This window comes from Homo sapiens, chromosome 9, assembly GCF_000001405.40.
Source record: "Homo sapiens chromosome 9, GRCh38.p14 Primary Assembly".
NCBI classification, from domain to species: Eukaryota; Metazoa; Chordata; class Mammalia; order Primates; family Hominidae; genus Homo; species Homo sapiens.
Window position 1 is genome coordinate 128,082,139 of NC_000009.12, and position 21,802 is coordinate 128,103,940.

At 49.6% G+C, this 21,802-nt stretch overlaps 1 protein-coding gene across 7 annotated transcripts in view, besides 5 other annotated features; it reads left to right on the forward strand.

The window, feature by feature from the left end:
* Positions 1-21,802, forward strand: part of SLC25A25 (solute carrier family 25 member 25) — a 41,014-nt gene that overhangs the window by 13,907 nt on the left and 5,305 nt on the right. The window contains exons 1-6 of one of the 7 annotated variants that reach the window (NM_001265614.3): positions 9,317-9,951; positions 18,958-19,084; positions 19,171-19,258; positions 19,942-19,977; positions 20,232-20,343; positions 21,543-21,701. In NM_001265614.3, coding sequence (NP_001252543.1) covers positions 9,733-9,951; positions 18,958-19,084; positions 19,171-19,258; positions 19,942-19,977; positions 20,232-20,343; positions 21,543-21,701 — 741 coding nt within the window. In that variant the 5' untranslated portion in view covers positions 9,317-9,732. Of the gene's footprint in view, positions 1-9,316; positions 9,952-16,368; positions 16,631-18,957; positions 19,085-19,170; positions 19,259-19,941; positions 19,978-20,231; positions 20,344-21,542; positions 21,702-21,802 lie in introns of those variants that run through there. The other 6 variants (NM_001387057.1, NM_001330988.2, NM_001006642.4 and 3 more) reach the window with 6 other exon arrangements.
* Positions 5,172-5,466: a silencer, noted in NCBI's record as "tiled region #4771; HepG2 Repressive non-DNase unmatched - State 23:Low". NCBI's record gives its function as "represses a minimal TATA promoter and a strong SV40 promoter by Sharpr-MPRA in HepG2 cells {active_cell/tissue: HepG2}" and the evidence as "EXISTENCE:reporter gene assay evidence [ECO:0000049][PMID:27701403]".
* Positions 9,292-9,812: an enhancer, noted in NCBI's record as "H3K27ac-H3K4me1 hESC enhancer chr9:130853709-130854229 (GRCh37/hg19 assembly coordinates)". NCBI's record gives its function as "activates a minimal SCP1, AML or CMV promoter by ChIP-STARR-seq in naive H9 embryonic stem cells {active_cell/tissue: H9 hESC(naive)}" and the evidence as "EXISTENCE:reporter gene assay evidence [ECO:0000049][PMID:30033119]".
* Positions 9,813-10,333: an enhancer, noted in NCBI's record as "H3K27ac hESC enhancer chr9:130854230-130854750 (GRCh37/hg19 assembly coordinates)". NCBI's record gives its function as "activates a minimal SCP1, AML or CMV promoter by ChIP-STARR-seq in naive H9 embryonic stem cells {active_cell/tissue: H9 hESC(naive)}" and the evidence as "EXISTENCE:reporter gene assay evidence [ECO:0000049][PMID:30033119]".
* Positions 15,407-16,143: an enhancer, noted in NCBI's record as "NANOG-H3K27ac-H3K4me1 hESC enhancer chr9:130859824-130860560 (GRCh37/hg19 assembly coordinates)". NCBI's record gives its function as "activates a minimal SCP1, AML or CMV promoter by ChIP-STARR-seq in naive H9 embryonic stem cells {active_cell/tissue: H9 hESC(naive)}" and the evidence as "EXISTENCE:reporter gene assay evidence [ECO:0000049][PMID:30033119]".
* Positions 16,144-16,881: an enhancer, noted in NCBI's record as "NANOG-H3K27ac-H3K4me1 hESC enhancer chr9:130860561-130861298 (GRCh37/hg19 assembly coordinates)". NCBI's record gives its function as "activates a minimal SCP1, AML or CMV promoter by ChIP-STARR-seq in naive H9 embryonic stem cells {active_cell/tissue: H9 hESC(naive)}" and the evidence as "EXISTENCE:reporter gene assay evidence [ECO:0000049][PMID:30033119]".

A 21,802-nucleotide genomic window follows, 5' to 3' on the forward strand; every position in this document is an offset into this window, starting at 1 on the left:
CACAAGACTGAGGGTTTTCATGCCGGACTTCTCTTTTCCTTCCACAGTTACAGGAGTTTTCTTTAGGGAGTTTTTGTCAAAGCTAGATTTTCCGGTTCTGTTTCCTAAAATGGAAATAGATCATGGATTTCCTTTTTTCATTATTGCAGTTCTGTCATCTGCCATACCTTAGTTTCATTTGTGCCAAATGAGGTGAGTTGTGGCTCCTCTTCATTGTCCAATTGTTGCTGAGTCACATCAGGTGGGCGTTTAAGAGTCCTGCCTTACAGCCTGAAACTCCAGCCGCCCAGCGCAGGCAGCACATAGGAGCTGAGTTTTTCCGTTGGCTGATTGGTTCATTCCAGCGGAGACTGACATTCACCTGCTACAGTCCTGCCTCTGGAATAGCCTGGCACTGCCATATATCAGTATATAAAAGAGAGTCTTCAAACTCTTGACTCCTGTACCACCCAAAAATAATTTTGAAAACAGCATATCCCCTTGCACATTTTGTACATCTGCTTTATTATTTTTATTTTATTTTATTTTAAGACAGTCTCGCTCTTTGCCCAGGCTAGAGTGCAGTGGCGCAATCTTGGCTCACTGCAACCTCCGCCTCCCGGATTCAAGGGATTCTCCTGCCTCAACCTCCCAAGTAGCTAGAATCACCACGCCTGGCTAATTTTTGTATTTTTAGTAGAGATGGGGTTTCACCATGTTGGCCAGGCTGGTCTCAGGTGATCCACCCACCTCCGCCTCCAAAGTGCTGGGATTACAGGTGTGAGACACCACGCCCGGCCTGTACATCTGCTTTACATGTTTTTGTTTGAGGCCGGGCGCAGTGGCTCAGCCTGTAATCCCAGCATTCTGGGAGGCTGAAGCGGGCAGATCACAAGGTCAGGAGTTCAAGACCAGCCTGGCCAACATGGTGAAACTCCATCTCTACTAAAAAATACAAAAATTAGCCGGGCATTGTGGCGGGCGCCTGTAGTCCCAGCTACTCAGGAGGCTGAGGCAGAAGTATTGCTTGAACCCGGGAGGTGGAGGTTGCCGTGAGCCGAGATAGTACCATTGCACTCCAGCCTAGGTGACAGAGTGAGACTCCGTCTCAAAAAAAAAAAATAAATAAATAAAAGTGTTTTTTTTTGTTTGTTTTGGTTTGGGTTCTGGTTTTGGCCAAAATCTTAGAGCTGCATATATGACTCATTTAATTTATGGAAAAGGCCTTTTATATGACCATATTGGCTGTGCCAGTCCTCATCAAATCAATCAGCCTAATCATTCTGACTTTCTGTCAAATAAAATCTCGCTTCATCTGTTAACTTTCTAAAAAGTGTTACTACTCTTCCCTCTCATGGCTTCTGAGTGTTAATATTTCTTTTTTTTTTCTTTTTTCTTTTTTTTTTTTTTGAGATGAAGTCTTGCTCTGTCGCCTAGGCTGGAGTGCAGTGGCGCGATCTCCGCTCACTGCAAGCTCCGCCTCCCGGGCTTACGCCATTCTCCTGCCTCAGCATCCCGAGTAGCTGGGACTACAGGCACCCAACACCACGCCCAGCGAATTTTTTTTTTTTTTTGTATTTTTAGTAAAGATGGGGTTTCACCGTGTTAGCCAGGATGGCCTCTATCTCCTGACCTTATGATCCGCCCGCCTCGGCCTCCCAAAGTGCTGGGATTACAGGCGTGAGCCACCGTGCCCGGCTGAGTGTTAATATTTCTAAGATAGGTACTAGGCAGTTAAGCAAGGAGGTGATGAGACCTGGAGATTGCCGTGGAGTTGGTCAGTCCTGAGAACTCGCTTTCTGCGTTGTTCTTCTAAGACTCCCTTGGGCATCTCCAATTGTCTTTGTGTGTGGTGCTCCAGGCTCCTTTATACTCTGGGCATTTTATCAGGGTAATTTGGAATAAGTCAAGTGCCCATGATTCGACTCACTACTTCCCTCTAGAGGTGTATTCCATTACTGTTCTCTGAAAAGTACCCATTCTAAGCCCCACCAACCAACTGAATGGACCTCAGGGTGCTAAGGGCATTCCAAGTAAACGCGAAAAACTAATTCAGGCCATGATGGGAAGGGAGGGACATGCCTAATTATACCCTCCTCTCTGCAATTCAGGCACAACCGACCAGCATTAACATTAAAACAGATTTTTTTTTTTTTTTTTTTTGATACAGTCTCACTCTGTTGCCCAGGCTGGAGTGCAGTGGCGCGATCTCGGCTTACTGCAACCTCCGCCTCCTGGGTTCAAGCGATTCTCCTGCTTCAGCCTCCCGAGTAGCTGGGTTTCCAGGCGCCCACCTCGGCCTCCCAAAGTGCTGGGATTACAGGCGTGAGCCACCGCGCCTGGCCTGACACTCCTTTTTATTGATTCCAGGTTTTTAGATAATAACCCTTTCAACCCCAATTTCCAATCAGAAAATCTTTGAACCCACCTATGATCTGGAAGCCCCCGCCTTCAAGTTGTCCCACCTTACCGGGCTGAACCAATGTGTACACCTTACATGTATTGACTGATGTCTTCTTGTAACTTCTGTCCCCCTAAAATGTATAAATCAACCTGTCACCCAGCCACCTTGGGCTCATGTTCTCAGGACCTCCTGGGGCTGTATCATGGGCCTTGGTCACTTATATTTGGCTCACAATAAACCTCTTTAAATATTTTACAGAATTCGATTCTTTTCATTGACACCATCAGCCTCTATTGTCTAGATTCTTAGAACAGTGGTTATTTCTGCAGGTATTAACCTCCTCTTAACCAGATTCTATTGATGTTTATAAGCTACTTTTACAAGAGGGTTACACTTGGCAGTCTATCCTTGGATATGGGTGATTCATCCTACCCAAGAAAGCTACATGTGAAAGGAAAGAAATGTACTATATTAACCTACAAGGAAATCAAAGACGCAAGAAAAATGTTTTAAAAAATATATATTGGGCCGGGCAGAGTGGCTCACACCTGTAATCCCAGTACTTTGGGAGGCCAAGGTGGGAGGATCACTTGAGGTCGAGAGCTCAAGACCATCCTGGCCAACATGGTGAAACCCCCGTCTCTACTAAAAATATAAAAATTAGCTGGGTGTGGTGGCGGGCGCCTGTAGTCCCAGCTACTCGGGAGGCTGAGGCAGGAGAATCACTTGAAGCCAGGAGGCGGAGGTTGTAGTGAACCAAGATCACACCACTGCACTCCAGCCTGGGCAACAGGAGCAAAACTCCGTCTCAAAAAAAAAAAAAGAATTGGAACAGGTGTGGTGGCTCACATCTGTAATCCAAGGTGAGGAGGCCAGGATGGGAGGATCACTTGAGCCCAGGAGTTCAAGACCAGCCTGGGCAACATGGCAAGACCCTATCTTTGCATATATGCAATATATATATTTAAACACATATAGGCAAGGTATTCAATTGAACACATTTCCATCGATTCCTGTCTTAGGTGCTGGTCTAGGGAAGTTTAAGATAAATAAGGCATGATCGCTAACACCTAGTTTATTATTTTTTTCTTCTGCTTGCTTTGCATTTAATTTGTTCTTTTCTGATCTCTTAGGGTGGAAACTGAAGTCACTGATTTTGAGACCTTTCCTTTCTAATATAGGTATTTCCTTCTAAGTACTGCTGCGGCTGCATCCTACAAATTTTAATACATTGTGCTTTCTCACCATTCAAAATACTTTCTAATTTCCTTTTTGATTTCTCCTTTGACATATCACGTGAATCATTTACAGTTGTATTATTTAATTTCCAAATATTTAGGTATTTTCCAAATATCTTTTTTTTCTTAAGAGACTGGATTTTGCTATGTTGCCCAGGCTGGTCTTGAACTCCTGGCCTCAAGCGATCCTCCCACCTCAGCCTCCCTAGTAGCAGGAACTACAGGTGCGTACCTGTCATTTTTTTCCAATTTAATTCCACTGTGGTCAAAGTACATACTTTGTATGAGTTGACTTGTTTTATGGGTGGAATATGTTCTGAGTGCACTTGAAAAGAATGTGTATTCTGCTGTTGTTGGGTGGAGTATTTTGTAAATGTCAGTGTGGTCAAGTTGGGTGTTTGTTTTTGTTGTTGTTTTTTTTTAGACAAGATCTCACTCTGTTGCCCAGGCTAGAATGTGTGGTGTGATCATATCTCACTGCAACCTTGAACTTGTGGGCTCAAGCAATCCTCCTGCCTTACCCTCCCGAGTACCTAGGACTACAGGTGTGAGCCACTATACTCGGCTAATTTTTTTTTTTTTTTTTTTTTTGAGACAGAGTTTTGCCCTTGTTGCCCAGGCTGGAGTGCAATGGCGCGATCTCAGCGCACCGCAACCTCCACCTCCCAGGTTCAAGCAATTCTTCTGCCTCAGCCTCCAAAGTAGCTGGGATTATAGGCATGTGCCACCACACCCGGCTAATTTTGTATTTTTAGTAGAGACAGGTTTTCTCCATGTTGGTGAGGCTGGTCTCGAACTCCCGACCTCATGTGATCCACCCGCCTCGGCCTCCCAAAGTGCTGAGATTACAGGCGTGAGCCACTGTGCCTGGCCACTTGGCTAATTTTTGTATATTTTCTAGAGACAGGGTCTTACTTTGTTTCCCAGGCTGGTCTGAAACTCCTGACTTCAAGCAATCCTCCCGCCTCAGCCTCCCAAAGTGCTGGGATTACAGGTGAGAGCCACCATACCTGGCCTAGTTTTAGAATCTTAAACAGTATACTTTGATTTCTATCCTCCCAGCCTTTGAGCTGTGGTCCTCATGCATTTTACTGTTACACACGTTATAAACCCACAGTGTATTGTTTTATTTTTGCTTTAAATAGTCACTTATCTTTTAAAGATACTTAAATAGGCTGGGAGCAGTGGCTCATGCCTGTAATCCCAACACTTTGGGAGGCCGAGGTGGGTGGATCATCTGAGGTCAGGAGTTCAAGACCAGCCTGGCCAACATGGTGAAACCCCATCTCTACTAAAAATACAAAAATTAGCTGGGTATGGTGGCGGGTGCCTGTAATCCCAGCTACTTGGGAGTCTGAGGCAGGAGAATTGCTTGAACCCGGAAGGCAGAGGTTACAGTGAGCTGGGATCGCACCATTGCAGCCAGCCTCAGCCTCCCAAAGTGCTGGGATTACAGGCGTGAGCCACCGCGCCCGGCCCCCAGTCATTCTTTTATTTTATTGTATTTTATTTTTTGAGACGGAGTCTCACTCTGTCGCCCAGTCTGGAGTGCGGTGCAGTGACGCAGTCTCGGCTTACTGCAACCTCCGCCTTTTGGGTTCAAGCGATTCTCCTGCCTCAGCCTCCTGAGTAGCTGGAACTACAAGCATGAGCCACCATGCCTGGCCAGAACCCAGTCATTCTTATCTGTATGTAATGGGTCTTGTTTTCTCTGTCTGCTTTTAAGATTTCCTCTTTATCACTGGTGTTCCGAAATTTAGTTGTGATGTGCCAGAGTTCGTTTTTTCGATGTTTCTTGTGCTTAGGGTTTGTTGAGCATCTTAGATTTGTAGATCTGTAGCTTTTAATAAATTTGGAGAAATATTTGGCCATTATTTCTTTAAACTATTTTTTCAGCCCCCTCCTTCATGGACTCCAGCTATGGGTGTTAACCTGTTTGGGTCATCCCACCGCTCACCAGTGCTCTGTTTGTTTTGTTTCCTCTGTGTTTTATTTTAGGAAGCTTCTATTGCTGTGTCTTCAAGTTTATTAATATTTTCTTCTGCAGTGTCTGATCTGTTAAAATCATTTTTCATCTGAGACATTGTAGTTTTTACCTAGAGTTTGAGGTGGAGCTTTTTAATCTGCGGAGTCTCTACTTGACACACTTGATCTTTCCTTACTTTCTTGTGCATAGGAAGTACAATTATGATAATTTTGAATGTCCCTGTGTACTAAGTCTATCATACATGTCATTTCTGCTCAGTCTTTATTGATTTCTGTCCTCATTATGGGTCACCTTTTCCTGCTTCTTTGTAGTTCCTATTCGTTTTTTACTGGATTTTACCCTCTTGGGTGCTGGTTATTAGTGTATTCCTATGAATATTCTTGAGCTTTATCTTGGAGTAGTTTGACCCTTGCAGGGCTTGCTTTGTTGGGCGGAACAAGGACAGCATTTAGCCTAGGGCTGGCTTTGCCTCACTGTAGAGGCAAAACCCTCTGAGCACTCTTTCTGAACCTCCCTGTATTCTGAGGTTTTCCACTCTGGCTGACAGGAACGGGAACTATTCCTAGCCCTGTAATCCTTTGGGATGGTTCTTTCCCCATGCTCAGGTAGGTTCCTCCCACCCATGCGCTGTGACTCCCTGGGGACCCTTGGGGGAGCTCACTCCCTGTGCAGCTCTCTCCTCTCCGGCGCTTTGTCTGGCACACTCTAGCTGCCCTGGCCTGGCCTCCCCAGCCTCTCAGCCCCATCTCTTGAACATCAGGAGGCTGCTGGGTTCCACCTGGCTTCTCTGCTCTGCACCTAGACTGGAAGCTCCAGGCAGGAAGCTGGGGCAATGGGAGGCGCTCCTGGCTTCGTTTGTATACATTGTATACATTTCTCAGGAATCAGTGTCCTTAGCCTGTTGTCCAGCGGCTGGGAAAGATTGTTTTCTATGTTTTGTTTGCACTTGTAGTTATAGGCAGGAAGGTGACTTAGTCCCTGTTACTCCTATCTTTGCCGGAAGCCCTTGAACTCATAACTCAGTTCTGTGGTAGGAGGAAGTGCATTAAATCAAAAAGCGGTAATCTACTAAATAAGGGATTTCTCTTATGTGTGTAGATGGGAGGCCAAAACATCACTATCTCCTCCATCTGGCCAGACTTTCTGTGCCTAAAAACAGGGCTCACATTCATTAAAGGATTTATTTATTTATTTTTGAGGCAGGGTCTCACTCTGTCAGCCAGGCTGCAGCCTCCACTTCCCAGGCTCAGGTGATTCTCCCACCTCAGCCTCCCGTGTAGCTGGGACTACAGGTGCGCACCACCATGCTCAGCTAATTTTTGATTTTTTTGTAGAGACAGAGTCACATTATGTTGGCCATGCCGGTCTCAAACTCTGGGCTCAAAAGACCTGCCTTGGCCTCCCAAAAGTGCTGGGATTACAGACGTGAACCACCACTCCTGGCCAAAGGATTTTTATTTACTTAGGGTTTTTGGCTGTGGACTGGCTCTTCTTTAGTATTAAAATGATCTAGTTGCATGAATCGCAATCATTTTGTAGATAATAATAATAAAATAGCTAATAGCTCCATGTACTGTCCTAAGAACTTTATATATTCTCTAATTTAGTCTTTAACCAATTCTATGAAGTACTAACTCCATTTTGCACATAAGGCTAGTGAAGCACAGAGAGCTGAAGTATCTTAGCCAAGATTACACAGCTAATAAGTGATGGCCAGGATTGGAATTTGGGGTCTGGCTCCAGTGACTGTGCATTTAATCAACATGCAAAACTGCTTCTGGACAAGTTCTGTTTATCTAGTGAGAGGGCAACTGATACAGGCTCCTTCAGCTTTCAGAACAAGCCTTAGGACCCCATCTCAACCATCTTACTTTCTCTCCAGATTGTCTTTTTTTTTTTTTTTTTTGAGACAGGATCTCCCTGTCACCCAGGTTGGACTGCAGTGGCACGATGATGGCTCACTGCAGCCTTGACCACCCATGCTCAAGTGATCCTCCCACCTCTCAGCCTCCTGAGTAGCTGGGACTACAACAGGCACCACGATGCCTGGCTATTTTTTTTTTACTTTTTGAAGAGGCAGGTTTCTCCACATTGTCCAGGCTGGTCTCAGACTCGTCGGCTCAGGCAGTTGGCCCACCTCCATCTCCCAAAGTACTGGAATTACAGGTGTAAGCCACTGCGCTCGGCCTTCTTTTTCAATGATTGTTTTATTTACATGTGTATGTGTGTATGCCTGGGTCATACATGCTTATGGTTCAGTTTCGCAAGATATAAGAGGATGTTCGGTGAAAACACGTCTCTCATCTGCCTTTCTCCTCTCAAAGCCCCAAGTGTCCTCCCCGCCCCACACCCTCTCTTCAATTTAATTATCTTTCCAGAGGCCGTCTTCACAAATAAAAGCTAGGAATAAATGGCAGCACACAATCCCCTTTCTTCTATACTTTGTCATTTAACAAGTTGGTTTTTTTTTGTTTTTTGTTTTTGAGATGAAATTTCGCTCTTGTCACCCAGGCTGGAGTGCAATGGTGCAATCTTGGCTCACTGCAACCTCCGCCTCCTGGGTTCAAGTGATTCTCCTGCCTCAGCCTCCCAAGTAGCTGGGATTACAGGCGCCTGCCACCATGCCCGGCTAATTTTTCTATTTTTAGTAGAGACGGGGTTTCACCATGTTGGCCAGGCTGGTCTTGAACTCCGCCTGCCTTGGCCTCCCAAAGTGCTGGGATTATAGGCATGAGCCACCACATCCGGCCTTGTGTTTGTATTTTTAAAATAATGGTTGTGGGGCCATGCGCGGTGGCTCGCTCCTGTAATCCCAGCACTTTGGGAGGCCAAGGTGGATGGATCACTTGAGGTCAGGAGTTTGAGACCAGCCTGGTCAACATGGTGAAACCCCGTCTCTACTAAAAATACAAACATTAGATAGGCATGGTGGCAGGTGCCTGTAATCCCAGGTACTTGGGAGGCTGAGGCAGGAGAATTCGCTTGAACCTGGGAGGTGGAGGTTGCGTTGAGCCAAGAGCGACCCACTGCGCTCCAGCCTGGATGACAGAGCGAGACTCCATCTCAATCAATCAATCAATCAATAAAGGTTGTGAACACTATCAGAGGGTCACCTCAGCGAGGAATGACAGTAGCCAGTGCATTTATCTGTTAGTAAACTAAGAAACAAATGACCATAGATTAATTCCTTTTTATTTATGACCTTTTACTCAGTTCGGTCTACAGACTTAATCTGTGCCTGGTCCTAGGGGTAGAAAGGTCTGTGACTTGGTCCCTGCCCCCAGGCAGCTCATCTTCTGGAGGGAGACGCAGCAGAAGTAGCTGCTGTGATGTGGCATGTGCTCTGCTGGAGAAAACTGGATCTTGAAACAAGGAAAAATGTTTCTAGAATGCTCTTAGGACATGCTGCCAAGGACTCTTGATGGTGTTGCACTTGATGGTGAATGCCTTCTGGAAGCAACCCGAGTGGAGGGCAGGGAGTTACTTTTGCTACGGAGCCAGCTCAGAGTGGATTCTGTAAGCTGAGCCTCATCTGGAGCTTGAGTCCGCACCTCCCTGCAGAATTGCCGGGCTTCATGCAGGCAATCAGCTGCCTGTGATTGGAGGGCTGGTGCTGGTAGGGATAATGAACTTGGTAGTGTCGGCAGAGGTGATTGGCCGGGCTCTGCTGCAGTGAGAATGCAGACTGGATGCTCGGGTCCTCGGCTTGGGTGATGAGCGAGGACAGCTGAATAACTGGGAGCTCGAAGTTGCTTGCTGCCTCCGGGAGTGGTCTGCTTGGCTGTCGCGTTTTCCTTTTCTTTTTTTTTTTTTTTAAAAAAAAGCCAAACGTTTGCTCACCATCACCTGCAGAAGTGAGTTTTTATTGAAGAAGCTCCAGCTGCTTTCTCCTTATTGCCGGCAGCCTGGCAAGCCTCCCTTAGAGTGAGCTACTTCTCAGGCCGGGCACGACAGCAGTGCTAGCACATTTGAAAAAGCAGGAAACCGCCCCTGCATGCAGAGCTTCCAGCCTGAGAACCCCAGGCCCGTCCTCCCAGCAGCTGTGTAGCCAGAGAGCGTTGGTACTGTGGTCACATCCCTCAAAAGTGAACAGTCGCCATCAGAGGCGTTTGGAGGAGACCGTGATGTTGCAGATGCTGTGGCATTTCCTAGCTAGCTTTTTCCCCAGGGCTGGGTGCCACGGCTCCAGAGAGGGGGACGATCGTGAAGTCAGAGGCACCCCAGCCCCTGCCTGGAGAGACCAGATGGCAAGCTTTTTGGGGAAACAGGACGGAAGGGCTGAGGCCACGGAAAAAAGACCCACCATTTTGCTGGTGGTTGGACCTGCAGAGCAGTTTCCTAAGGTAATGTTGGCCTCAAGAGGACCTCCTAGTTTAGGGCCTGGTCTGGGATCATTTTCCTGGGGAAAAAACGAGTGTGGGGAGGAAGGGAGAACTCACAACGTTAGTTCGGGGTTCAGGGAGAAGTGGTAGGCAATGAGGAAGCCCACAAATGCAATCTAAAATCTTTCTGTGGCCCCTGTGAAAGCTGCATTACCCACTGCGAGCACCCCAGTGTGGCTGTTGAGGGAAGGAAGGTTGCAATAGACTTGCCTTAGGATTTGTTAGTTTGGCTGAAGAAAGCCATTTGAAAGTGAGGGGCAGCCTGTGAAAGTGTGCCTTAGCTTATCCGAACAGCTCAGGAAGGGCGAAGCTAAAGGGGCGAGAGAGTGTGCCTCGACCGTGGAACCCAGTTGCTTGGAGCTGTGGGGGTGGTCTTGGCATCCTGAAGGTCACAGTCCCCTTGCCTGGGTCCGACCCATCTCTCCTTTGGGTCTGGGAGGAAGAGTGAAGGCATGAGACTGGGTCCGAGGAGAGGCTGGAGTCATGAGGCGCAGAGGCTGGTGCCCCTCTGGAAATGACTGCGGCCGCTGCGGGTCTGCCAACTGTGGGGTCTTTCATCCTTCCTGAGCCCAGAGCGTGAGTTACCATCCTCACAAGAGCCAAGGTAAGTGGTAGTATCCCCATTTCGTAGATGAAGAAACTGAGGTGCAGAATGGTTACATTATTTGCCCAGGGTTAAACAACTAAAGAGAGGTGGAGCTGAGATTTCACCCCCAAATCCTTGTCCTGTGCTGCCTCGTTTTCCCCTTAGGAAAGCAGTTTTTAAGGAGACTAATGGAGTGCTCAGTATTAGAAAGGAAATTGCCACTTGGCTCAGATTTCTCCTCCCTGCTGTAGGAGTGACCTCGTTCACCTCCTGAGCTTTGGTTATTTTCAATCTTTTTACTTAGGAGAAAAATCAGAGAAGAAAAGGAGATTCTGCCCGTTTGGCACATTATAGATACCACAGAGATGTTAAGATGAATTGCTACATTTAAGAAATAAAAGCTCATTTTGCCTTTGCTACTAGGGACTTTTGATGTAATAACATTTGCAGTCATGTGGGCACTGGGGAGAAGTCTTCGTCTTTGATGGGTTCCTTCTGAGCAAAGCAGTGGGTCTCTCAGAGACTGTTATGCCTGAGATGTCTTTGCTTAATATTCAAAGAGAGGGTGTCACTTTGTACCTTTTGATTGTTTTAGACAAGATTGGAATGGCTGTGGCACTAGCTTTGTGAGGAACTTTTATCTATAGACCTGCTTGCCTTATTACTACCTCGAATGGCCGGCTCCTTTTAAAATCACCTATTTTTGTCTTTAGCAGTTAACTGCTCTATTTTTCAGCATCATACAGTACCCCCTTGCCAGCTCTCCCCCCAGGGACTGCCTAGGATAGGACTGTCTGTTCTGAACAGCTTAGTTCCTGGCCTGCAGAATCAAGAGACCCACACCTTTTACTGGCTGATCCCCAAAAGAGAGACAGTTCAGCTGGCTGCAAACTGGGGGAGCCCCAAGTGGGATATGGGGCAGCTGGTTGGGCTTGAAGCCAGAGAGAAAGCAAATCTGAGAAGCATAGACTCTCAAAGCAGATAGACCAAGAACTGGAGTAACAGGAACATGGATGCAGCCCGCATCCTTTTCCAGAACAGTGCTCTGAAGGTGTTTGGGGTTTGTGATCACTGGCTGATTGGGGCTGGCCTCACCAAATCACAAAAAGGACCTCCAGAATGTTCTGGAAACATTTTTGAAAAGTTCACTTTAGGCCAGGCGCAGTGGCTCATGCCTGTAATCCCAGCACTTTGGGAGTCTGAGGTGGACAGATCACGAGGTCAGGAGTTTGAGACCAGCCTGGCCAATATGGTGAAACCCCGTCTCTACTAAAAATACAAAAATTAGCTGGGCGTGGTGGTGCGTGCCTGTACTCCCAGCTACTCAGGAGGCTGAGACAGGAGAATCGCTTGAATCCAGGAGGCGGAGGTTGCAGTGAGCCAAGATTGTGCCGCTGTACTCCAGCCTGGGTGACAGAGCAAGACTCTGTTTAAAAGAAAAAAAGAAAAGTTCACTTTGGTTCTCGGGCTTCTCAGTGTCCCAGAAGCACTACTTTGTTTTGCTCTCACTTCCCCTGTTTAAATATGTCTGCTAGTGAGTCAGGTTCCTGCAAGCTTTTATTCTAGGAACTGTTCCAGTTTTTCCCTTTATCTTTGTCTTACAGTTAATCTTCAGTTGGAGAAGAAAGCCATTACTCTGGAGTGGGAGGTGCCCTCAGCGGCATTCAAGCTTTCAAATCCTGAGGGGCTGTCTTCTCGGAAGCACAGAGAATTTTGCTTATTGTGTGTGTAACTGCCAAGTGTAGGCAGGTTTCATTGGAAACTGGCTACACTAGGCTGTCATGGCAACCTGATCATCAAATGACACTGTGGCCACAGCCGCCAATGAGGTTTGAGAGCCTTAAGGGTGGGTGGGGCTTGAGCGGCTGGATGCTGGCAAAGCTTCCTCATATTAATATTTCTGGCTCAGCCTGAGTCATTGCAGAGGAGGGGAGAGGAACTTTCTGACCTAATGCTACACTCCCAGAGGCACTGTACCTGCCCTGTTCTTATTCATGGTATTCCGGCCTTTACCTGAAGCACCTGCTTTCTTCTGGCATGTAACATAGTGGTAGAACAAGGAAAGCTTTTGGTGGCATTGGCAGATTTGCTGTGAGAAGATGCTCAGGAGAGGAACTGCTACTTTATAGATTAATTGCAATCTGATGCCACTGAATCCTAAGGGACCTAGTGTTGCTGTCACTGTTTCCGAATACTAGTCATAGGAATGGACATCGGAGGAGCTGAAACAGATGAGGGTCTGTGCCACAAAGTCAGAATAATAAAGAGCAGCGAGGCATCGCACACAATGCGCGTTGTGCCCAGATCTTGGAGTGTCAAGAAGGCCGGTGTGAAGCATCAGGGCTGAAACCCGAGGCCTGCTTTAGTTCCTCCATAATCTAGTTCTCACAGAGGCATTCAGAAGCTGTGACACAAACACCGTTTTTGGTTGTATTTAGCTAGGGCTCAACTTGCTCAAGTTACACCTTTCCCACACACCTGCCGCCTTCCAGTATGAGGTATCACCTACTGTCTGGCTTACCGGCATCCTTTGGGAACTGAATACTAAAATCTGTTTTGGGTGCTGTTTGAAGTGGATGTTGTAACAAGAACCCTGGGTGCAAGGCCCTGCCCTGCCCTTGACAGGCTTTGGGAATTGGGCAAATCAGGTCGCCTCTCCCAGGCCTGTTTGCTCAACTCGGAGATTAAGGGATGATCCCAGAGCCCCTCTGGGCCCCCACAGTCTGCAGTTCCAGGAATACAGCAGTTGTCCTGGACACTAGCACCTAGAGATGGGCTTATTTGGGTAGAACTCTCCATTTTTATATGAACATGGAGTCTTGAGTTACCTGTGAAACTCAGTAGGATGGATGATTTAAAAAACCAAATGCCAATTGAAGTTTATCCAATGAAGACATTCCATGAGACTCAGTCACAGCAGCAAATAAGTTAGAACCCTTTTAAAAATTAGCTGGGTGTGCTCGTGGGCACCTGTAGTCCCAGCTACTCGGGAGGCTGAGGCAGGAGAATCGCTTGAACCCAGGAGGTGGAGGTTGTAGTGAGCCAAGATCGCGCCACTGCACTCCAGCCTGGGCGACAGAGCAAGACTCCATCTTAGGAAAGACAAAGAAAAAAGAAGAAGAATACAGGTTTCACTTTTATTTAGTATCATTTTCAAATCTCAGATTTCTTTTGTTAAATACATTATAAAACTCAATGGTACAGTAATATGTGCCATAATTATTTTTAAAATATACTTTAATAGAAAGTGAAATCTCCAATTGAACTTATTCAGTCAAAATATTTGCTTTTTTATATTAGAATGACTGCAGTCATCACTAAAATGAGATATTCAACAGATCTGTATAATTTAGTTTCAGAAGCAAACAATAATTTAACAAAGGAAGACCAGCATTTTTTTTAATAGGGCAACATCTCATTTTATAAAGTAGAGTGAGCATTCCTAAAGACCAGCATTTTAGGGTTCAGCTTTTATTTATAAATGTGAACCTCCTTTAAAATAAAATAATAGAGGCTAGGCGCAGTGGCTCATACCTGTAATCCTAGCACTTTGGGAGGCCAAGGCAGGCAGATCACTTGAGGCCAGGAGTTGGAGACCAGCCTGGCCAACATGGTAAAACCTAGTCTCTACTAAAAATACAAAAATCAGCCAGGCGTGGTGGTGGGCGCCTATAATCTCAACTACTCGGGAGGCTGAGGCACAAGAGTCGCTTGAACCTGGGAGGCAGAGGTTGCAGTAAGCCGAGATCGTGCCACTGCACTCCAGCCTGGGTGACAAGAGTGACAGTCTGTCTCAAAAATAATAATAATAATGATACATTATCTTGTCCATTTGAATATAATGCCCTGACAACTCTATTTGCAGATGCTCAGAAAAATAGGCCTTCATCAAGCATGGTTATAAGTTTGTTTCTTGGGGTCTTAGAGCCCCCTGAGCTAATTCACTCATTTGGAAGCTGTTCATGAAGCACCTTATTTGATCAAGGCAGGAGGTTATTTCCAGACAAGGAGGTCCAAGGGTTTGAAGTAAGAGCCTTCTACCTTCAAGGACCCTGGTGGTAGAGATAAGAGGCGTGTTAAAATAGCCCAAGGCAGAACATTCTGGATTGGGCAGCTTAAGAGATAGCTGAGTGTCATGGATTTAGCGGAGGCTGAGCAGGAATCTGCCTGGATAATCCAGTGCGACCTCATAGGATCCGTCACTAGGGTAGCCCAAGACCTGTTCTCACAGACTCGTTATCAGATCTCTGTTAGAAGGCCCAAATGTCATATCACTTGTCATAATCTCTGTTTCATAATGTTGTGTGTAAGTATCAACATCTTGTAACACCCTCTTTACGAGTTAACAACAAGCGTTTTAGTGCATTAAAAAGTCCTTTTACTTCTGTGATCCCCAAGTAATAACTATCCATTTTTATCCATCCCGGTAGTGGGAAGATATAGTCTATATTAGGAAGTGGCGCACTGTAGAAGGAACAAGGGTGAGACTGAGCCTGTTCTCATCTTGGTGACGTGGTCTCTTCCTCCGCAGCACGAATCTGTGGGGAAGGAATGAGTGGAGAATTCAGGCCGGCCTGCAGAGAGGGTCGTCCTGCCCTGAAAGGGTCGTTCTCGAGCTGTGTTGCCCAGTGAAGTTTCCGCTGTGGCAGAAATGCCCAGTGACTATGCGTGGCTATCCTGGGGAACTGAGTTTGTAATTTCATGTCATTTTAATGAATTTACTTTTTTGCATGAGACACAGTTTCACTCTGTCACACAGGCTGGAGTGCAGTGGCACAATCCTGGCTCAGTACAACCTCCGCCTCCTGGGTTCAGGCAATTCTCGTGTCTCAGCCTCCCCAGTAGCTGGGATTACAGGCGTGTGCCACCACGCCTGGCTATGACTTTACATTTAAAAAGCTTCTGTATTGAACAGCAAAGTTCTAGCTGTGACTAAGACTGGGCTCCTACGTGTTCTGAGCGGACGTGGGCGTTGAAGACTGTGGGTCTCATGTGAGGCCTCGACTGACCCCAGATTGATGCTTCTGGGGAGTCCTTTGGCATGGTGTCCTCTTACCAACCCCATCATGTCAGCTCCTGGGCACTCTGGGGCTCCTAGGTGAAGGCTGGTGCTCACATTGCAGAATGGCCTGGAAGAGGTTTCAATGCAATGTGGGCTGTGGAGGGCTGCAGGTTCCCTGGAGCAGGAGCCAGCTAGAACTGTGCCTGGAGCCGTGTGTGGCCAGGGCAGCTCCCCTGTGGGATACATGGGCCCATAGGGGGGTCCACTTTCCAGGGTGGCTAGGCACCTGGCTCTCGGCCACCCCTCAGCCTCCTATCCTCACAGCTGAACTGGGCCCGTTTGCAGTGGCAATCAGCTCTGTCTCTCTCCAACTACTGATTTTTTGGTTGGGAATGATTTACTAAAAGGAGAAAAACTGTTGTGTGACACGTTTGGGGACCTTGTGTGAAAGCAGCCATAGGCTGTTTGTTCATCTGAAGGGGTTGGCAGCTAGAGGGTGAAGGTTTGTTTGGGCTCTGTACCTGGTACCCAGGCAGGCAGAACGCACCACCCGGCCTCTTCTCCAAGAGTTAACTGCAGGGAGGGAGCGGTGACGTCAGCCCTGATCTTTGTGCCTCTCACTTGAGCAACCTGATGCCACCTTCTCCCCCGGGCTCTGTGTTCATTGGCTGTTGGCAGGACTTGCCGTGGGAGGGCTTTTTTCTTTTTTCAATTAAGTAAAAGGGCAGGGCTTAAGCAGCCAATGACAGCTGAGGCCAGGCTTGTCTTATGCAAGTTTCCCGGGACCGGCAGCATTTAGGGAACTTGCTCCCGGTGGTGAGGGCAGTGGAGCACCCAGCAGGCCGCCAACATGCTCTGTCTGTGCCTGTATGTGCCGGTCATCGGGGAAGCCCAGACCGAGTTCCAGTACTTTGAGTCGAAGGGGCTCCCTGCCGAGCTGAAGTCCATTTTCAAGCTCAGTGTCTTCATCCCCTCCCAGGAATTCTCCACCTACCGCCAGTGGAAGCAGGTCTGTGGGGTGACCGCGCGGAAGGGAGAGGCGCATTCAACCGGTATTTGTTGAGTGAATGGCTGAGCATGCATGAACCATCCCCCACTGAGAGGAAAGAATGTCTGAAATGTAGCAGTTTTTTCCCATTGCCATGCGGCTATGGCCGGCACGTGTACGTCACAGGAGTGACCGGTTTTCATGTGACTTCCCAGGAAGGCTGGAATTCCAGCGAAGGCTGTTGTGAGAAATGGACTTTCAGAAAGGAAATTCCTTTTGCTGGAATGAGGGGGGTGTTCCTGAGAAGTACAGAGCCAGAAAGGGACCTGGGGGGCAGGCCAGTAGTGCATGGGAGGAGAAGGCAGGGAGGCCCAGGAGTTGAGGGTGCTGCGTGGTGGAGCTGCCCGTCCCTGGTGTGGGGGTGAGGGAGCCTCCCGCCTTCTCGACTCTCAGACATCGCTGTGGAACAGGGCCTGTGTCTGCCCTGAAAGTGAGGAAGCCGAGCTGCAGAGTCCGGAGGCCCCTTGCCACCTCGGCTTCTCGGTTAATCAGTTTCCCTGCTACCCCCAGTGCCCACTGTGCACCAAGGGGGATTTGCAGATCCAAGGAAGGAGACAGAAGGAGGCCCAGGCCCTGTGAGGCAGAAGCAAGCACTTTGAGAATGCGTTGAAGCCAGCTGCGGTGAGCACACCCTCTGCTCTGGGTGTCTGCGACAGCACCCACCCCAGGGAGGCATGTGGCTCACCCTGGCAGCAGGCGGCTGGGTCCCAGAGGGCTCCATGCCTGATGTTCGCCTCCTGCCTAAATGGCTTGTCCACTCTATTTCCATTCCTGTTAGAGATTTGGAGCAGTCACCCTATAGGTGATTTATGTCACTCTTGTCTGAGAGCACAGATGTCCACAGGAAGTTAAATGTAACCTCAGCAGATAAAATATGTACCTGCATCTGTCCTACATTCCAGCCACGCCCCTCACATTAGCCTTTTGATCGCGCCAGGTCATGGGGTATCTGTTCAGGCCTCCCTGCCCCTGACACCTTTGGCAGCTGAGGAATCACAAGGCGCTGTCAGTAGTGTGTCTAAGAGAGAGGCGCGGTGGTGATCCTTTGAGGACGCGAGCTAGCCAGTGGGCCATCCATTTCCAAACCCCAGCTGGCTGTCAGTTGATTTCTCCCAGTGAGAAATCCGGAGGACACAGGAAGACTATACCATCTTCCTTGGGAGATTCTCGGTCCCAGTTTTGGGTTCCGGATTCAGGGCGTTGCTGAGTTGGGGTGACTCACTTTCATCCCCCATGTTCTGAAGGTTAGCCTTGAGGGTGGCGGCAGGATGTGCAGGGAGGCGGCTTGGGAGGACCACGGCCCAACTTGCATCCCGCCCACCACTTCCCTAGCTGTCTGACCTTGTGTAAATGTTTAGGCTCTCGGAACTCCTGTTTCCTTCTCTGTAAAATGGGGGAAATGACATTTCCTACCTCCTAGAGCTGTTTGCGAGGGGGGTAAGTGGGTTGCTAGAAGTAAAGCATTTGGCACGCCCTGCGGCCGGTGCTAGGTGCTGGGGAAATGTGTGCTCTCGTGGAGCTGTCCCAGTTGCCAACCATTAACAGCTGCTGAACAAAGCCCACCTCCTGGGAGGCGGGGGCGGGGGGGGTTACTTTTGGAACCTCATTGCCAAGGAACAGTCTCTCAAAGCCTTCTTGGGACACTAAAGTGCTTTTCAGTGAGTGAGCGGGAGAGCCAGGGCAGCTCTATCACCTGGCTTCCCTGAGAGCAGGGACTGGCAGTACCATCATACACATGCCCTTGGCTCCTTACACTTCCCCGGCCTCGGGTGCTGTGGCAGAGTCTGGCTCTGCCCCCGATTTTCACCTGCCCACCAAATTATTCTCGGACCAATGCCAGTTTTAGGAGAGAAACAGCGAGCTGCAGAGTTCCTGTCAGAAACTGGACTCCATGGCCATCCCCAAGTCTCAGCAGGGAGCATGTGTGGTTGAAGCCTGGGTCCAGGGACCCAGGGACGGCGCTGCAGCGAAGCCACCCTGCTCACCCTGGCTGTACGGCACGCAGGTCTTCAGACTGAGAAAGTGCCCAGCTGTCCCTGTCGGCCTCTGTCCGGAGGGCTCTTCCCAGGCTCCTTGTTTCCTCTCTGCTTGAGAGGGAGACAAGATTGGCCCTTGCCTGGGTTCTGGCCAGCACCTGGGGTTCTAGGTGGTGGCTCTGGCATGTAAGTCGATTGCCATGGTGGCTCTGAGAGTGGAGCAGAAGCATCTTGGGTCCTTGGGGCCAGCTCTGCTCGCAATTAGTGAAGTCATTGCCTGGGGATGGGGCCCCACAAGGGACAAGGAAAGGCTGGTCCAGGAGCCAAAAGACAAAATGTTACCTTTCTTTTCTAGAAAATTGTACAAGCTGGAGATAAGGACCTTGATGGGCAGCTAGACTTTGAAGAATTTGTCCATTATCTCCAAGATCATGAGAAGAAGCTGAGGCTGGTGTTTAAGAGTTTGGACAAAAAGAATGATGGTAAGTGTTGCCTTCAGAGCTGTGGCCGGTCCAGCCTCGGGCCTCCCCGTGCGCCTGGCTCCTGCTCACGGCCTCTGTTCTTGCAGGACGCATTGACGCGCAGGAGATCATGCAGTCCCTGCGGGACTTGGGAGTCAAGATATCTGAACAGCAGGCAGAAAAAATTCTCAAGAGGTGAGTGCTCAGCCAGCCTCTGTGTTTGGTTTAAGTGTGATGAAGGGAAGGCTCTGAGACTAACCCTCCGATGCCATTCCCTGGGCTGACCCTGAACTTGGCCTTCTCGTGGTTTGAAAGGATGAATAAGTAACCCCTGTGGGAGGCCAGCCCCTCCCCAGGGTTGCAGGCCTGCTTTCATTGGAAGAATCACAGATCACCTGGAATTTTGCCCATCGGCCAGTGGCCCATGAAGGGAAAACTAATTTGGGGGTGGTTCAAATAGGTAAAAGGCCAGCAAGGAGCACCTGTGCGTGTGGAGGGGGCGGGGCGGGGCGGGGGGCTCACACTGCAGCCTCGTTCCCAGGTGAATTTCTTCCCCATGCTGGTAACTTGCACTTAACACTTTAGTCAGAGGCGCTGCCCCAAAAGATAGCTCCCTGGTGCGGGGCGGCTGCCAGGAAATCTCATGGAACAGCCCTGGGAGTTGCCGTCTGTCCTGGCTGGACCTTCCGGAAACCCTGCGGTCTGAACACTGGCTGGTCCTCGGGGACAGCAGCCCTGGGCTCAGCTGCTGTGGCGGGCTCGTCTCGTGCCGTGCTGTGCCCCTGTCTCTGGGTGTGTGCTTGCTTCACTAACATGGCTCCGAGCACTTATGCGTGTTGTTTCTGCTCTCTCCTCCGCATCCTTTGTCTGTCTGTCAGAATACGAACGGGCCATTTCTGGGGCCCTGTCACCTAGTAAGTATCCATGTCGCTCATGACTGCCTCCCTTGACTTCCATGCCTGATCAGAGCGGGATTCTTGTGGGCCATTATATTGCCATTGTTGTGCTAAGTGGGGTGTGGAGCCCCCTGCTCTTTCTCCTGGGGGCAGAGGCACCTCGTGTGGTTTCTGGGCATCCGAATGCCTGCCCTTGGCTCACTGGGAGGTGGGGGGATGCAGCTGGCGGATGGGCATGTGGGCACGTGGGCAGCCTCGCCTCTGTCTTGCAGCATGGATAAAAACGGCACGATGACCATTGACTGGAACGAGTGGAGAGACTACCACCTCCTCCACCCCGTGGAAAACATCCCCGAGATCATCCTCTACTGGAAGCATTCCACGGTGAGCCCCACGTGCCCAGGGCCCTCATCTGCTCCCAGGGACCCTTAGCCCAGAGTCACCCAGTCGTCCCCATCCCAGAGTGCAGCTGGGGCTTTCCAGCCACCTCCTCTTCCACAGGAGACTGTCCCCTCTTCTGCCAGCCCAGTAGAGCTGTCCGCATGTTCCCCATGTTCTGGCACTCCAGCCAACCTGAACAGCCCCATCGTTCACACACACAGGCTTCCTCTTCCAGGAACACCCTCCGTCCCCACATGCTCCCTGCTCCCTGCTCCTCATGGGCCACTTCAAATACCCCTTCCCATGATGCTGTCTGTTCTCCCAAAGCTGGTATGAGCCTTCCCCCCGGTGGGAGGGGGCTGGGGCAGAAGCTACTCTACAGAGAACACCTAGGCAGAGCTGTGAGGTGTCCCCACGGTCACACATTTGCTGCCCTCTCGCCCCCGTCCACTGTGGTTTCATGTTCAGAAATGTGAGTCTGTGCTGGTCTCTGCCCCGAGCCCTTCATGCTTGGCGTGTCCCTCTCTGAGTCCTGGTGTGCAGTCCTGTCCCTCTGGACCATCCGCTCCAGGAGGGGAGGCCAGAGGCGCTCCTCATCTGCCTCTCGCAGTGCCAGGCCAGGGCTTGTTAGGTGAGATTAAATGGACAGCTCCAGGGGTGGGAGTAGCTGGCCCAGAGCTCTGGCCTTTAGCCCTGGGATCAGAGCAGAGGTGGCTCTGATCAGCCCGGATGTCACCCGGAGAAAGGTTACGCAGGCAGCGAGCCCTCGTGTTTGCTGAGGCGTTGCATAATGTTCTGCCAGCGTGATCTGGTTACACGTGAGATCTCAGACGGCTCTCACCCCGGCCTGATCCCTTCAGCGCAGCCAGCCTGGCAATCTCACACAGGCCTGTGAGCTGTTCTTGCAGTAGCTCCCTGGCAGCATTGGAAAGGGCCGGTGAATGGTTTTCTAACCGGCACCTCCCGGCTGTGTTCAGCTGAGGTTCTATACCTGTGCCTCTCCAGGACCCCAGCAGGGGTGAGAGCTCTGCTACCTTCAGAGTGAAGGGAAAGACCCCAGCCCGCTTCCCACCCAGAGTCCTTGGCCTTCTCCCTGTCCTGTGGTCCCTGGCCTGGAGCCGTGCTAGAGGGTAGACGGCGACAGGTGCCAGCAGCCTTGCCCCAAGGGTCCTGAGTCAGGCTTGTGCCATCTTTCCTCACAGATCTTTGATGTGGGTGAGAATCTAACGGTCCCGGATGAGTTCACAGTGGAGGAGAGGCAGACGGGGATGTGGTGGAGACACCTGGTGGCAGGAGGTGGGGCAGGGGCCGTATCCAGAACCTGCACGGCCCCCCTGGACAGGCTCAAGGTGCTCATGCAGGTATGTAGGGAAAAGGCCCCAGACCCCTGGGGGGCCAGTTTCCACCTGGGGGATGCTGCTTGGCTAGTTTTCCCTTTCTCTGGCTGGTGCCTGCTTTGGGC